The 14,777-nt window shown below is 39.4% G+C and overlaps 1 protein-coding gene across 3 annotated transcripts in view, besides 1 other annotated feature; it reads left to right on the top strand.

Annotated features, from left to right (window-relative positions):
- The window catches only part of NUP153 (nucleoporin 153), a 91,889-nt gene that overhangs the window by 16,740 nt on the left and 60,372 nt on the right, over positions 1-14,777 (top strand). For all 3 annotated transcript variants that reach the window (NM_001278210.2, NM_005124.4, NM_001278209.2), the window contains exons 2-3: positions 1,568-1,790; positions 14,416-14,664. In NM_001278210.2, the coding sequence (NP_001265139.1) occupies positions 1,568-1,790; positions 14,416-14,664 (472 nt within the window). The remainder of the gene's footprint in view (positions 1-1,567; positions 1,791-14,415; positions 14,665-14,777) is intronic.
- Positions 4,211-4,710: an enhancer, noted in NCBI's record as "H3K4me1 hESC enhancer chr6:17685707-17686206 (GRCh37/hg19 assembly coordinates)". NCBI's record gives its function as "activates a minimal SCP1, AML or CMV promoter by ChIP-STARR-seq in primed H9 embryonic stem cells {active_cell/tissue: H9 hESC(primed)}" and the evidence as "EXISTENCE:reporter gene assay evidence [ECO:0000049][PMID:30033119]".

Genomic DNA, 14,777 nt, shown 5'->3' with positions numbered 1-14,777 from the left:
AGAGACGCGGTTTCACTGTGTTAGCCAGGATGGTCTCAATCTCCTGACCTCGTGATCCACTTACCTCAGCCTCCCAAAGTGCTGAGATTACAGGCATGAGCCCAAAGCCCATACTTTTACTCTGTCTTAGATATACTGTGGTAGTTGTGTTTCTACTTTGGGCAAGTTATTTAACTTCATTGTTTGTCTTATCCATAAGGTGGGGATATTAGTTCATAAAGTTATGGTGAGGATTAAACTAAATAATATGTATAAATTGCTTAGAATAGTGTCTAGCACATAGCCAAACTACAATAAAAATAATAGTGAAAGCTATTATACCACATTACTTTCCCTTTCTTCTTTGAAAAGTTACCATAATAGCTGGGCACGGTGGCTCATGCTTGTAATCCCAGCACTTTGGGAGGCAGAGGTGGGCGGATCACCTGAGGTCGGGAGTTTGAGGCCAGCCTGACCAACATGGAGAAACCCCGTCTCTACTAAAAATACAAAATTAGCTGGGTGTGGTGTAATCCCAGCTAATTGGGAGGCTGAGGCAGGAGAATCCATTGAACCCAGGAGGCGGAGGTTGTGGTGAGCCGAGATCGCACCGTTGCACTCCAGCCTGGGCAACAAGAGTGAAACTCCGTCTCAAAAAAAAAAAAAAGAAGTTACCGTAATAAAATTAATCACTGAGATTTTCAGCCAACATTTGCTGTAGTGAAATGTCAACATCAGAAAAGATTTTAGATTGTTTCTTGAGTTTATTTTTGTTGGATTGTTTTTTTTTGTTTGTTTATTTGTTTTGTTTTGTTTTTTGAGATGGAGTTTTGCCCTTGTTGCCCGGGCTAGAGTGCCATGGTGCAGTCTGGGCTCCCTGTAACCTCTGTCTCCTGGATATAAGTGATTCTCCTGCCTCAGCCTCCTGAGTAGCTGGGATTATAGGCATGCGCCACCATGCCCTGCTAATTTTTTGTATTTTTAGTAGAGATGGGGTTTCTCCATGTTGGTCAGGCTGGTCTTGAACTCCCGACCTCAGGTGATCTGCCCACCTCAGTCCCCCAAAGTGCTAGGATTACAGGCATGAACCACCTCGCTTGGCCAGATTGTTTTAGTTCCTGTATTTTTTTTTTTTAACTCTTGTATTTCTAGTTGTCTGAATTTTTATTTATCTTAAAGCATGTGCAGTAAAATAATTGCTTGAGAAAGCTATTGAAAGTATTGTTTATGTTTTAACATACTGGGAAAAAATGGATGCCTTTTCTCTGAGATTAAAACATGTATTACATATTAATAAATCTAAAATCGACATTGAGTATTTGATGGCCTTTTGGGGTTTTTTTAAGGATTAGAATAATGCAGCCATTTGGGACAATTATTGCCTTATGTATGCATATAGAAGAAAGAAAGAATTTCACATCTGTAGAATTTGTAAAAACCATTATGTTAGCAGTAACTGTAGTAACTGAATTTTGGCAAACTTGTTGGACACCATTGTGTTTTGCTTGGCCTGGCTTTCAGTGAGTAGGTACTTATTTTAAAAAGATAAATTTCTAAAACTGTCATAATATGTTTTTTCTCTCAACAGGGCATTCTTAGCAGGGTTACAGAATCTGTTAAGAATATTGTGCCAGGGTGGCTACAAAGATACTTCAACAAGAATGAAGATGTATGCAGCTGTTCAACAGACACAAGCGAGGTTCCACGCTGGCCAGAAAATAAAGAGGACCATCTGGTATATGCCGATGAGGAGAGCTCTAATATTACTGATGGGAGAATCACACCTGAGCCAGCAGTCAGTAATACAGAAGGTAAGTAAAATGTGAATATTTTGTCATGAATGATAGGTTTTCATGCCCTAATTTTGAAGACACTACCTAGTTATGGTAAATCTAATCAGGCGGTACATAAACCATATGGGAAGAGGATGATAATCAGGTTCAAATTGGATGTCTTTTTTATTTATCAGTGTTTTATTTATTAAGGAAGGTTGATAAACTATATCAGTTAAGACTGCAAGCTCTGATGTTGGATTTTGGGTTTTAATTTTCTTTTCTTTTTCTTTTTTTCTTTCTTTTTTTTGTTTTTTGAGACGGAGTCTCGCTCTGTGGCCCAGGCTGGAGTGCAGGGTGTGATCTCTGCTCACTGCAAGCTCCGCCTCCCGAATTCATGCCATTCTCCTGCCTCAGCCTCCCAAGTAGCTGGGACTACAGGCGCCTGCCACCACACCTAGCTAATTTTTTTTTTGGTATTTTTTATAGAGACGGGGTTTCACCGTGTTAGCCAGGATGGTCTCGATCTCCTGACCTCATGATCCATCCGCCTCAGCCTTCCAAAGTGCTGAGATTACAGGCGTGAGCCACCGTGCCCAGCCAAGCCTATCCTTTAAAGCACGTGTTTTAAATTTCGATGAAGCCCAATTTATCTCTCAGTGTATGTTTCTTTCAGTATATACATTTTTTCTTTCACTACATGTTTTGAAATACATAATTACAAAACTTTTTGTAGCCCTATGTTAAAGTCTCAAATAAATAATTGATTTGGTTGTATGCCCTGTTAATTTTGGTGTACTTAGTAACATCTCCCTGCCTGATTTGTCCATAGTAAAAAATAGCGATAATGAAATGGCCCTGAAAGAATGGTTTTTATTTTAGAGAAATGGCAAACCTAATTTTTCTTAGTAATGTTCAACTAGATGTATTCTTTGAATGTTCACTTACTTTTATTAGAGTAACTTAAGTTTTAATGTCTGTACTTTTCAAGATTGCTTTTAAATATATAACCAGCAGCCATCTTGAGGTTTTATCTGGTAGATCTCTAAGCTGACTGCCTCTGTGTTATTTTCTTTTCTGGCCAGTGAAAGGGACTCTGGCTTTTCTTTTTCTGTTTTCCCCCCTCTGTTTCCTGGTTATGAGATTTGTTTCCTTTTGGTTAGAGAGTTCTAGTATATCCACAGCGACTGTCTTCTAAGATAGCTGTAGAAATGATCTTTTCTATCCTAATGAGCATATTTGAAAGGATTAACTAACTTCAAGAATTTAGGTGTGAAAGACATGGAGAGTTTCTTATTCTCTGTACAGTTTATGTATATTTGTATTTTCATGAAAATAGCAGGATGAATTTATGCCAAGGTCAACTCAAACTGATTTTATTCATTATATTATTAAATGTATAAGGAGGATTTTCTGTTACATGTCCTTATTCTTTAAGCTTTTTTGTATAACTTCTGAACTTTATTATGGAAAATTTTTAAACCTAGAGAAATAAAGAGGATAGTACAATGACACCCCCCACTCCCCGCCCCCCTCCCCCGCCGCCCGCCCCCGGCTGCCCATTACTGAGCTTCAACAATAATCAAGTCACGGTTGATCTTGTTTATACTCTATTCGCACGCCTATTTCCCTACCTTCCTACCCCCAACTCACCTGATGTACTTAGAAGCAAGTTGTGGGCAGCATTTTGATATCTACTTCAAAAACTTAAAAAATTTTTTTTTTCTATAGTACTGTTTTTTTTTCTTAACTTTTAAAACTTTGTTAATCCCAGAACTTTGGGAGGCCGAGGTGGGTGGATCATGAGGTCAGGAGATTGAGACCATCCTGGCTAACATGGTGAAACCCCGTCTCTACTAAAAATACAAAAAATTAGCCAGGCATGGTGGCACATGCCTGTAGTCCCAGCTACTCCGGAGGCTGAGGCAGGAGAATGGCATGAACCCGGGAGGCGGAGCTTGCAGTGAGCCGAGATCGCACCACTGCACTCCAGCCTGGGCGACAGCGAGACTCCGTCTCAAAAAAAAAAAAGAAATAAAAAAAAGGTTTGTTAACAATTAAGACATGCGCACATTAACCTAGCCCTACATAAAGTCAGTATCAGCTATATCATGGCTTTCTACCCCCACATCTTGTCGCACTGGATACTCTTCAGGGGCATTAACATCCATGGAGCTATCATCTCCTATGATAACAATGCCTTCTTCTGGAATACTTCCAGAAGGACTTACCTAAGGCTGTTTACAGTTGGCTTTTTCTTTCTTTCTTTCTTTCTTTCTTTTTTTTAAAGACAAGATCTCATTCTGTTACCCAGGCTGGAGTGCAGTGGCACCATCATGGCTCACTGCAACCTCAACCTTCCAGGCTCAAGCGATCCTCCCACCTCAGCCTCCCAAGTAGTTGGGACTATAGGCGTGTGCTACCACGCCCAGCAAATTTTTTTTAATTTTTTTGTGGAGACGAGGTCAAACTCTGTTGCTTAGGCTGGGCTTCAACTGGCCTCAAGTGAGCCTCCTGCCTTGGCCTCCCAAAGTGCTGAGATTACAGGTGTGAGCCACCACCTGTGAGTCAATTTTTTTTTTTTAATGTAAGTGGAAGGAGTATACTCTAGTGATAAAAGGTATAGTAAGTACATAAAACAGTTACATAGTCATTTATTATCATTACCAAGTATAGTATTCTATAGAGTACATAAATGTATTTGCTCTAGTTTTACATGACTGGTAACACTGAGTTTATTTACATTAGCATGACTGCAGACTCCTGAGTAATGCATTGCACTAAGGCCTTAGGATGGCTATGATGTCACTAGGGAATACAGATTTTTCAGCTTCTTCATAATCTTATGGGACAACTGTTTATATAACAGTTTTTTTTTTTTTTTTTGAGACGGAGTCTTGCTCTGTTGCCCAGGCTGGAGTGCAGTGGCTCGATCTCGGCTCATTGCAAGCTCCGCCTCCTGGGTTCACACCATTCTCCTGCCTCAGCCTCCCAAGTAGCTGGGACTGCAGGTGCCCGCCACCAGGCCCAGCTATTTTTTTTTGTATTTTTAGTAAAGACGGGGTTTCTCCGTGTTAGCCAGGATGGTTTTGATCTCCTGACCTCATGATCCACCTTCCTCAGCCTCCCAAAGTGTTGGGATTACAGGCGTGAGCCACCGCTCCCAACTAGTTGACTGTTCTTATGTGGCACATGACTATATATCTGCTGTTGAAGTAGTGTCAGATTCTGGAAAGCTAACATATGGCAGTCCTAAATAAATTTAGTTGTTTACTAAATATTAATTTTATAAATACATATTTTATTGCACTTTGCACATACTGCATTTTTTACAAATTGAGTTTGTGGCAATCCCATGTCAAGAAAGTTGATCAGTGCCATTTTTCCACCAGCACACGCTAACATGTCTGTCACTTTGGTAATTCTTGCAGTATTTCAAACTTTTAAATTATGTATCTATCATGGTGATCAGTGCTCTTTGGTATTACTATTGTAATTGTTTTGGGGTGCCACGAGCCACACCCATATAAGATGATGAACTTAATCAGTAAATGTTGTGTGTGTTCCAGCTGCTCCACCAACTGGCTATTCCCCTCTTTTCTCCCTCTTTCTGGGCCTCCCTATTCTCTGACAGTATTGAAATTAGGCTAATTAGTAACCTTACAGTGGCCTCTAAGTGTTCAAGTGGAAATCAGAGTTCCCCGTCTTTTATCCAAAAGCTGTAAGTATGTAAGTTTAGTGAGGAAGGCATGTGGACAGCTGAGACAGGCCTGAAGCTAGGCCTCTTGCACCAGTTAGCCAACTTGTGAATGCAAAGGAAAAGTTATTGATGGAAATTAAAAGTGCTGCTCTAGTAAACACACAAAGGATAATATGAAAGCAAAGCAGCCAGTTGCTGATGTGTAGAAAGTTTGAGTTGGTTTAGATAGAAGATCAAACTAGCTACAAAATTCCCTTAAGCCAAAGTGTAATCCAGAGCAAGCCCTAACTCCCTTCAGTTCTGTGAAGTCTGAGGGAGATGATAAAGCTGCAGGAGAAAAGCTGGAAGCCAGCAGAGATTTATTCATGAGGTTTAGGGAAAGAATCTGTCTCTGTAACATAAAAGGGCAAGGTGAAGCAACAAGTGCTGATGTAGGAGCTGCAATAAGTTATCCAGAAGATTTAGCTAAGAGCACTGACGAAGGTGGTTTATTAGTCCATTTTGCATTCTATAAAGGAATACTTGAGACTGGGTAATTTATAAAGAAAAGAGGCTTATTTGGCTCATGGTTCTGCAAACTGTGTGGGCATGGCACCAGCATCTGCTTGGCTTTTAGTGTGGTCTCAAGGTTTTACTCATGGCAGAAGGCAGAGTGGGAGCAGGCATATCAGTCACATGGAGGGAGAAGGGAGCAAGAGTAAGGAGGTCCCAGACTATTTTAACAACCAAATATCATGTGAACCCACTACCTTGGGTAGGGTACCAAGCCATTCATGAGGAATCTGCCCCCATGACCCAAAGACTTCCCATGACCCCACTTCCAACATTGAGGATCAAATTTCAGCATAGGATTTGGAGGGACAAACATCTAAACTATCAGATGACTACACTAAACAACATATTTTCAGATGAAACATGGCCCGCCGTTGGAAGAAGATACCATCTAGGATTTTGATAGCCAGAGAAGAGACATCAATGCCTGGCATCAAAGGATAGGCTAACTCTCTTATTAGGGGTTAATGCAACTGGTGACTGTAAGTTGAAGCCAATGCTTATTTACCATATCAAAGATCCTAGGGCTCCTAAGAATTATGCTAAATCTACTCTGCCTGTGCTGTGTAATTGAAACAACAAAACCTGGATGACAACACATCTATTTACAGCATGGTTTACTGAACATTTTAAGCCAGTTGTTGAGACCTCTTGCTTGGGGACAAAAAGATTCTTTGCAAAACAACACTGCTCATTAACAATGCATTTGGTCACCCAAGAGCTCTAATGAGATGTGCATAGAGATTAATGTTGTTCTGATGCTTGATAATACAATGTCCATTCTGCAGCCCATGGATCAAGGAGGCATTTTGACTTTCCAGTCTCATTATTTAAGAAATACCTTTCATATGGCTATAGCTATCATAGTCATTCCTCAGATAGATCTGGGTAAAGTAAATTGTAAACCTTTTGGAAAAGGTTCACCATTCTAGATGACATTAAGAACATTTGTTGAGTTTCAAGTCAAGGCTAATTTGGGGGAGAAAAACCATTTGTGATTTACAGGAGGAGGTCCAAATATTGACATGAATAGGAGTTTAGAGAAAGTTGATTCCAGCCCCCATGGATAACTTTGAGGGGTTCAGGACTTCAGTGGAGGAAGGAACTACAAATGTGGTGGAAATAGAAAGAAAACTAAAATTAGAAGTGGAGTATGAAGATGTGACTGAATTACTGCAATATCTTATGCTCAAACTCGAATGGATAAGGAGTTGCTTCTTGTGGATGCGCAAAGAAAGTGTTTTTTTTTTTTTTTTTCTTCTTTTTTGAGACAGTCTTGCTCTGTCACCCACTCTGGAGTGCAGTGGCACAATCTCAGCCCACTGCAACTTCAGCCTCCTGCGATAAAGCAATTCTCCTGCCTCGGTCTCCCGAGTAGCTGGGACTACAGGCATGTGCCACCACACCCAGCTAATTTTTTGTATTTTTAGTAGAGATGGGGTTTCACCGTGTTGGCAAGGATGGTCTCGAGCTCCTGACCTAGTGATCTGCACCCCTCAGCCTCCCGAAGTGCTGGGCTTACAGGTGTGAGCCACCACACCTGGCAAAAGTGGTTTCGTGAGATGGAATCTACTCTTGGTGAAGATACTGTGCACATTTTTAAGATTACAGAATAATTTAGAATATTACATAAACTTAGTTGATAAAGCAGCAGCGAAATTTGAGAGGATTGACTCCCATTTTGAAAATTCTGCAGTTAGAATGCTATCAAAAACATTGCATGCCACAGAGAAATCTTTCGTTAAAGGAATAGTCAGTCGATGAGGCAAACTTCATTGTTGTCTTATTTTAAGAAATTGCTACAACCAACCCAGCCTTCACTACTCATCACCCTGATCAGTCAGTAGCCATCAACATTGAGGCAAAGACCTGTTAACACCACCTAAAAGATTATGACTTTCTAAAGGCTCAGCAGATTGTTATTTGTTAGCAATTTTTTTTTAAGTAGGTATGTTGTTTTTATTGTCATAATGCTGTTGCACACTTAATAGGCTATAGTGTAGTGTAAACATAACTTTTGTATGCACTGGGAAACCAAAAACGTGTGTGACTCACTTTACATTCTCCTCCTCACTCTCCCAGGTAGCTGGGACTACAAGAGCGTGCTGCCATGCCTAGCTATGTTTTAAAAATTTTTAGTAGACGTGAGGCCTCACTGTGTTGCCCAGGCTGGTCTTGAACTCCTGGCCTTAAGTGATCCTCCTGCCTCAGCCTCCTAAAAGTGCTGGGATTATAGGGATGAGCCACCACACCTGGCCTGTGTTGGATTTCTTTTTCCTCTTTGGTTTCTGTATATACTAGGTTTAGTTGATGTCTGCCAAGAGTTAGAAAATTATCCTATCACTTTTCTCCTATAGGAGAAACTGATGCAGGGATGAGAGAATGGGATAAGTAAAAAGCATGTTCATAGTGTAATATACTACAGTAATATTGGAATACTTGATACCCTGGGAAACATTTCAACCTATGTGTATGTAAATCCTGATTGCAGATAAATTGAAATATTTATTATGTGTAAATGCTAATTGGTTTAAATACCTATACCAGCAGATTTCTAAACCCCAGACAGTATCTCTGGTTTTTTATTTTTGTTTTGTTTTGAGACAGGTTCTTGGCTCTGTCGCCCAGGCTGGAGTACAGTGGCATGATCTCAGCTCACTGCAACCTCCATCTGGGTTCACGCCACTCTCCTGTCTCAGCCTCCCAAGTAGCTGGGACTACAGGCGCCCGCCACCACACCCGGCTAATTTTTTGTATTTTTAGTAGACACGGGGTTTCACCTGTTAGCCAGGATGGTCTCGATCTCCTGACCTCGTGATCCGCCCACCTCGGCCTCCCAAAGTGCTAGGATTACAGGCATGAGCCGCCTTCTGGTAACCATCATTCTATTCTCTGTCTCCATGAGTTGCCCACTGGTATTCGTCATTCTATTCTGTTTCCATGAGTTCTTTTGAGTCCGTTTTTTTTTTTTAAAGCTGTCACATTTGAGAACATGTGATAGTTGTCTTTTTGTGCCTGGTGTATTTCACTTAATGTGATGTTCTGCAGTTCCATCTATATTGTTGCAAATGACAAGATTTAATTCTTTTTTTTTAATGGCTGAATAATACTCCATTGTGTATATGTAGCACAGTTTCTTTGTCCATTCATTTGTGGATGGATACTTAGGTCAATTCCGTATCTTGGCTATTGTGAATAGTGCTGCGAGTGCAGATTATCTCTTTGATATACTAGTTTCCTTTAACTTGGATATATACCCAGCAGTGGGATTGTTGGATCATATTGTGGTTCTACTTTTAGTTTTTGTGAGAAACCTCAATGATGTTCTCCATGATGGCTGTACTAATTGATAATTCCCACCAACAACAGTGTACAAGGATTCTCCTTTCTCTACATCCTCACCAGCATCCATTATTGCCTTTTTGATAAAAGCCATTTTCACTGGGGGTTGGAGTACTTTTTATGTTCTGGATATTAATCCCTTATCACATATATAATTTGTGGATATTTTCTCCCATCCTGTAGGTTGACCTTTTACTCTGTTGATTACATTCTTTGATGCATAAAAGTTTTTACATTTCATGTAGTCCTGTTTGTCTGTTTTTGCTTCCATGGCCTGTGCTTTTAGTGTTGTATCTGATAAATCATTGTCAAATCTCATGTCCTGAAATTCTGTTTTCTTCTATAAGTTTTATAGTTTTGGGTGTTATACTTTGGTCTTTAATCCATTTAGAGTTAATTTTTGTATATGGTTCAAGATAAGGGTTCATTCTTTTTCATGTGGATATCCAGTTTTCCAAAACCATTTAATGAAGAGACTGTCCTTTTCCCATTGAGTGGTCTTGAAATCCTTGTTGAAGATCGTTTGATCATATATGGTAGTTTATTTCTGGGCCCTGTGTTCACGTCCATGGTCTGTATTGCCTGTCTTTATTACAGTATTACAGACCACAGGCTCTTTGGTTTCCCATGTAATGGAAATTAACACGGACCCAAGCAGATTTCCCAGACAGGACTTTTATTTCAGGGCTTGTGCTTGAGCGCAAGGGAAACAGTGGAGGTGAGGCTCAAGGATCCTCTTCCTGGCTTCCCGGAAAAAGCCAGTAGGAATTTTTTTTATTAGGCAAAGCGCAGGAATTGACATGGGGTAAGGTATGCAGGCTGGGCTGGGCAAAGCACCTGCAGGGTAGGGTACGCAAGGCAGCATATCTGGTTGCGATGATTACCTTGAGTAGTGGTCTGGCCGGTGGCAACAATGCTGTAAATCAGTTATTTCGCATTCCTTCCTGAGGTGGACTCTCTGCAACCTTGGTTTGATTTTGGATCTCCTAAGAGCAATTCCTGGAATTCTTTAAAAGGTATGGTTACCTATTATGAGAGCACCGAAGAATGGCTGTTTTCTTTTTGTGACTAAAGCCTCAGGGTTAGCATGTGTAACATCAGCGAGGTAGTCTTGTGGATTTTGTGAAGAGAAGAAAAAAATACATATGTGAAGGAGAAACTACCTCCCACCTCCTGTTCTCTCTCACCAGTGCCACATTGTTTTCATTACTGTACTTCTGTATTAAGTTTTAAAATCAGAAAGCTTGAGACCTCCAACTTTTTTGTTGTTTTTAAAGATTATTTTGGCATTTTGAGGTTCCTTGAGATTCCATATGAATTTTAGGATGGGTTTTCTATTTCTGCAAAAATGTCTTTGGGATTTACATAGAGGTTATATTGAATCTGTAGATTGCTTAGAATAGTATTGACATCCCAACAATATTTAGTCTTGTAGTCCATGTACGTGGGATATTTTTCCATTTCTGTTTTCTTTCTTTCGGTACTGTTTTGTAGTTTCCATGTGCACATCTTTTACCTTGGTTCATTCCTAAATATTTTATTCTTTTTGATGCTATTATAAATGAAATTGTTTTCTTACTTTTCAGATTGTTCATTATTAGTGCCTAGAAACACATTTTTTTGTGTTGATTTTTGTATCCTGGTACTTGGCTAAATTTGCTCTAACAGCTTTTGGCTGAATCTTCACTGTTATTTACATGTAAGATTATATCATCTGCAAACATGTTTTTTTACTTTATTATGTTGTAGTTTCGTTCTAGTCTTAGTTTGTTGAGTGTTTTTATCTGCAGCTGGCTTTTTTTGTTATAGTACTTTGGAACTAAATAATCCAGAATTGTTTTGTATTGCTTAAGCTGTAAAATATTTGTTAAGACTTATTTTTTTTTTTTTTTTAAATGAGATAGTCTTGCTTTGTTGGTCAGGCTGGAGTGCAGTGGTGCCATCATAGCTCATTGCAGCCTTGAACTCCTGGGCTCAAGTGATCCTCCCACCTCAGCCTCCTTGAGTAGCTGGGACTACAGCTGTGTGCAACCACACCCAGCTGACTTTTTAAATTTTTAGTAGAGATGAAGTCTCAGTATGTTGCCCAGGCTGGTCTCGAACTCCTGGGCTCAAGTAATCCTCCTGCCTTGGCCTCCTAAAGTGTTGGGACTACAGGCGTGAGCCACTGTGTCCAGCCAAGACAATTTTTTAGGAAGATAGCACATAGAAGAACACTACAGAATGGCAAATACAGTCTAGCAGCACATCACAAAATACTTACTGAGGAGAGCATTAATCAAGGAATGCAAGTAATCATTCAGCGTTTAATATAGTTTACCATGTTACTAGGTAAAATGATCTTATTTTTGCTTTTTAGTAAATAGACATTTGCTAAAATTTAAAATTCACTCTTTATTTCTATTTGGAGTTTAGAAACTGTTACTTCCTTAACATGTCAGTTTTTCAAACCAAAGGCCAGAATCTTTTTTTTTTTTTTTTTTTTTTTGAGACAGAGGGTTCTGTCAACCAGGCTGGAATTCAGTGGCAAGATCTTAGCTCACTGCAACCTCTGCCTCCCAGGTTCAAGCAATTCTCGTGCTTCAGCCTCCCAGGTAGCTGGAATTACAGGCGTGTGCCACCATGCCCGGGTAATTTTTGTGTTTTTAGTAGGGATGGGATTTTGCCGTGTTGGCCAGTCTGGTCTTGAACTCCTGACCTCAAGTCATCTGCCCGCCTTGGCCTCCCAAAGTGCTGGGATTACAGGTGTGAACCACTGTGCCCAGCCCAGAATCATATTTAATGGTGAAACATTAGAAGCAATCTTATTAAAGTTGGGAATAAGGTAGAAGTCCATCACCACCACTTCTAGATATTAAGAATGTAATTAGTTATGGGGATGTGGTAATGTGTTAGAATAAGAAAACTCTAGCAATTGACACAAAGTTAATATTGAAAAATACCTAACGACTCTCTTATTTAAGCAGTAGTCAGAAAACACGAAAGAAGAAAGGATCCCATTTGTAATATCAAACAATTGGGAGGTGGAGGCTGCAGTGAGCGAAGATTGCGCCACTGCACTCTAGCCTGGGCGACAGAGTGAGACTGTCTCAAAAAAAAAAAAAAAAAGGAAAAAAAAAATTATGTACTTTAACAAGTGTGTGACACTCTAAAAGAAGAAATTCTCTTAAGTTCCACTGAGGGACATAAAGGAGATCTGAACCAAAGGAAAGGTGGGTAGGAAAGCAGTGTTGGGAATGCTATCAGTTCTTCTTAAAAATCTTAAATTCAGTGTGATCCTAGTCAAAATAATTTTAAGGGCTCTTTTAGGAACTTTGAACATATTCCAGATAGCTGCTTTAAAGTCTTGTAATGCTAAATGTTTTAAGGTCTTTGTCTGCTACCTTTGGTTAAAGTTTCTAACACCTACTCTCCCCCACCCCCTACCCCCGTGCATGGATCACAGTTTTCTTTTTTCTATACATTGAGTTTTTACTATATTGGCATTTTGAATGATAATGTGTAGAGACTCTTGGTTCTGTCATCTTCCTCTGAAGAGTGTTGGTTCTTGTTTTTAGCAGGCAGTTCAGTTAATGATAATTTTGAACTTCTGTAGATGTAGTTTTGTGCTGTATTAATGTATATTTGTGGGGACAAGTCCAGGGTGTTTCCTAAGCCTCCCAATGTGGTGGGCCTTAGCCTCCAAGCTCTGTCTCCCCTGTGGCTTTTTAGGAGAGATCTGTAGTAGGTCTTATTTTAGTTATATACTTATTCCTTATTTTTAAGGGCGAACCTTTTGGTACATCAGCTGAATGCCATTAGTAATGAGATCTTTAAATTCTGGCAGCCCTAAAACTTGAGAGTCCTCAGCATTGTTTTTTTCCCCTAGCACGGTACACTGTCTAGTATCTCTGTTTTCTCAACTCCATAGCAGCTGCTGCGTAAGGCTTAGGTGGTCTTGATATAGGTATGTGCAGCCTCTCTGCTCACTGGACACTCCCTTGTGGATTTCTGGGAGACCCTCTCTGCACAGTTCCCTACTCTGCAGTGTCCTAAATTCTGATTTCTTCCCGCTCTGTTTTACTTGACTCTAGGTCTCTGTTCAAGGTCTGAAAATGTTCCTAGACAGAGAGCTGGGTAATCGTAGGGCTCACCTTGTGAGTTTTTTTTTGTGCTGTTTTCCACTGTCTGAAAGCAGTAGCTTCATATTTTTTCTCCAGTCTTATAATTGTTTACAGTAGAAGGACTGGTCTGGTCCCACTTATTCCGTTCTAACTGGAAGCCTCTTTTTGGGAACTTTAGAAACAATTCTAAAGTTTTTGAAAATGCCTCTGAAGACAAATTCTGAAAAATGATTTATTTTAATAATTTAATATTTTAATAACGGGAAGGTGGGGTGGAGTAACTTCAACACGCATTAAATTCTAAAGCATAATATTTAAAACATTTGGTACTCGTGCAGAAGTATAAAGATACATCATTAGAGGAAGAGAGGAATAAAGACTCTGGGAATTTAGTATGGTTTAGTATGTGGTAACAGTGGCTTCTCAATCATTGAGGAAAGGATGGCTTATTTAAGAGATTACCTTAGGTTATAAACAGGTTAACCATTTGGAAAACAGTGAAGCCGAATCCTTTCTTTACTCCTGCATCATAACTAATTTCAGATGGGAGTCAAGATTAGACATATTGAAATAAAAGCAACAGTATCAAAATACGGGTAAAACTTATTTTTTATGGTCTCAGAATGATAGGACTATAAGGCAGAAGTTACTTTCTGTATTACAAAATACACCATCAAAAAAGTGAATGGGTTTAATCAACTGGCAAAAAATAGTTGTATTTCAACTGTTGTATCGTATCACATCACTCTTACTGGTTTAAAAAAATTAGCTCTTATTTAAATTAATTTTAGTTAGTTGAAACTTTGTTTTGCCTAGGAGTATGTTATATTGGGCTTATTATGGGATGCCCCAGTGATTTGAATTGAAGCTATTATATACTGTAATGTGTTTTCTTAAAGTAAAAACCATTTGTGGTAGTGTATCGCTCTAAGTTGTATATTCATAATATTAATGCTTTTCTTTTAAGAACCTTCAACAACTAGTACTGCTTCAAATTATCCAGATGTGTTAACAAGGCCTTCTCTTCATCGGAGCCATCTGAATTTTTCCATGTTGGAATCCCCTGCATTACACTGTCAGCCATCTACATCCTCGGCATTCCCAATTGGCAGTTCGGGATTTTCCCTTGTAAAGGAAATTAAAGATTCTACCTCTCAGCATGATGATGATAACATCTCAACTACCAGTGGTTTTTCTTCAAGAGCTTCTGATAAAGGTATTCTTGACATGTGGTAGTACATAATTTGGGTAGTAACATTAAATTTTATGGGTTTTTTTTCTGACTTGGTTGTAATTTTTATTTTCTATTTATAAAAATCTAGGCTCTTG

The sequence above is a fragment of the Homo sapiens genome, chromosome 6 (genome assembly GCF_000001405.40).
Source record: "Homo sapiens chromosome 6, GRCh38.p14 Primary Assembly".
NCBI lineage: Eukaryota > Metazoa > Chordata > Mammalia > Primates > Hominidae > Homo > Homo sapiens.
This window is presented reverse-complemented; position numbering and strand designations above follow the sequence as displayed.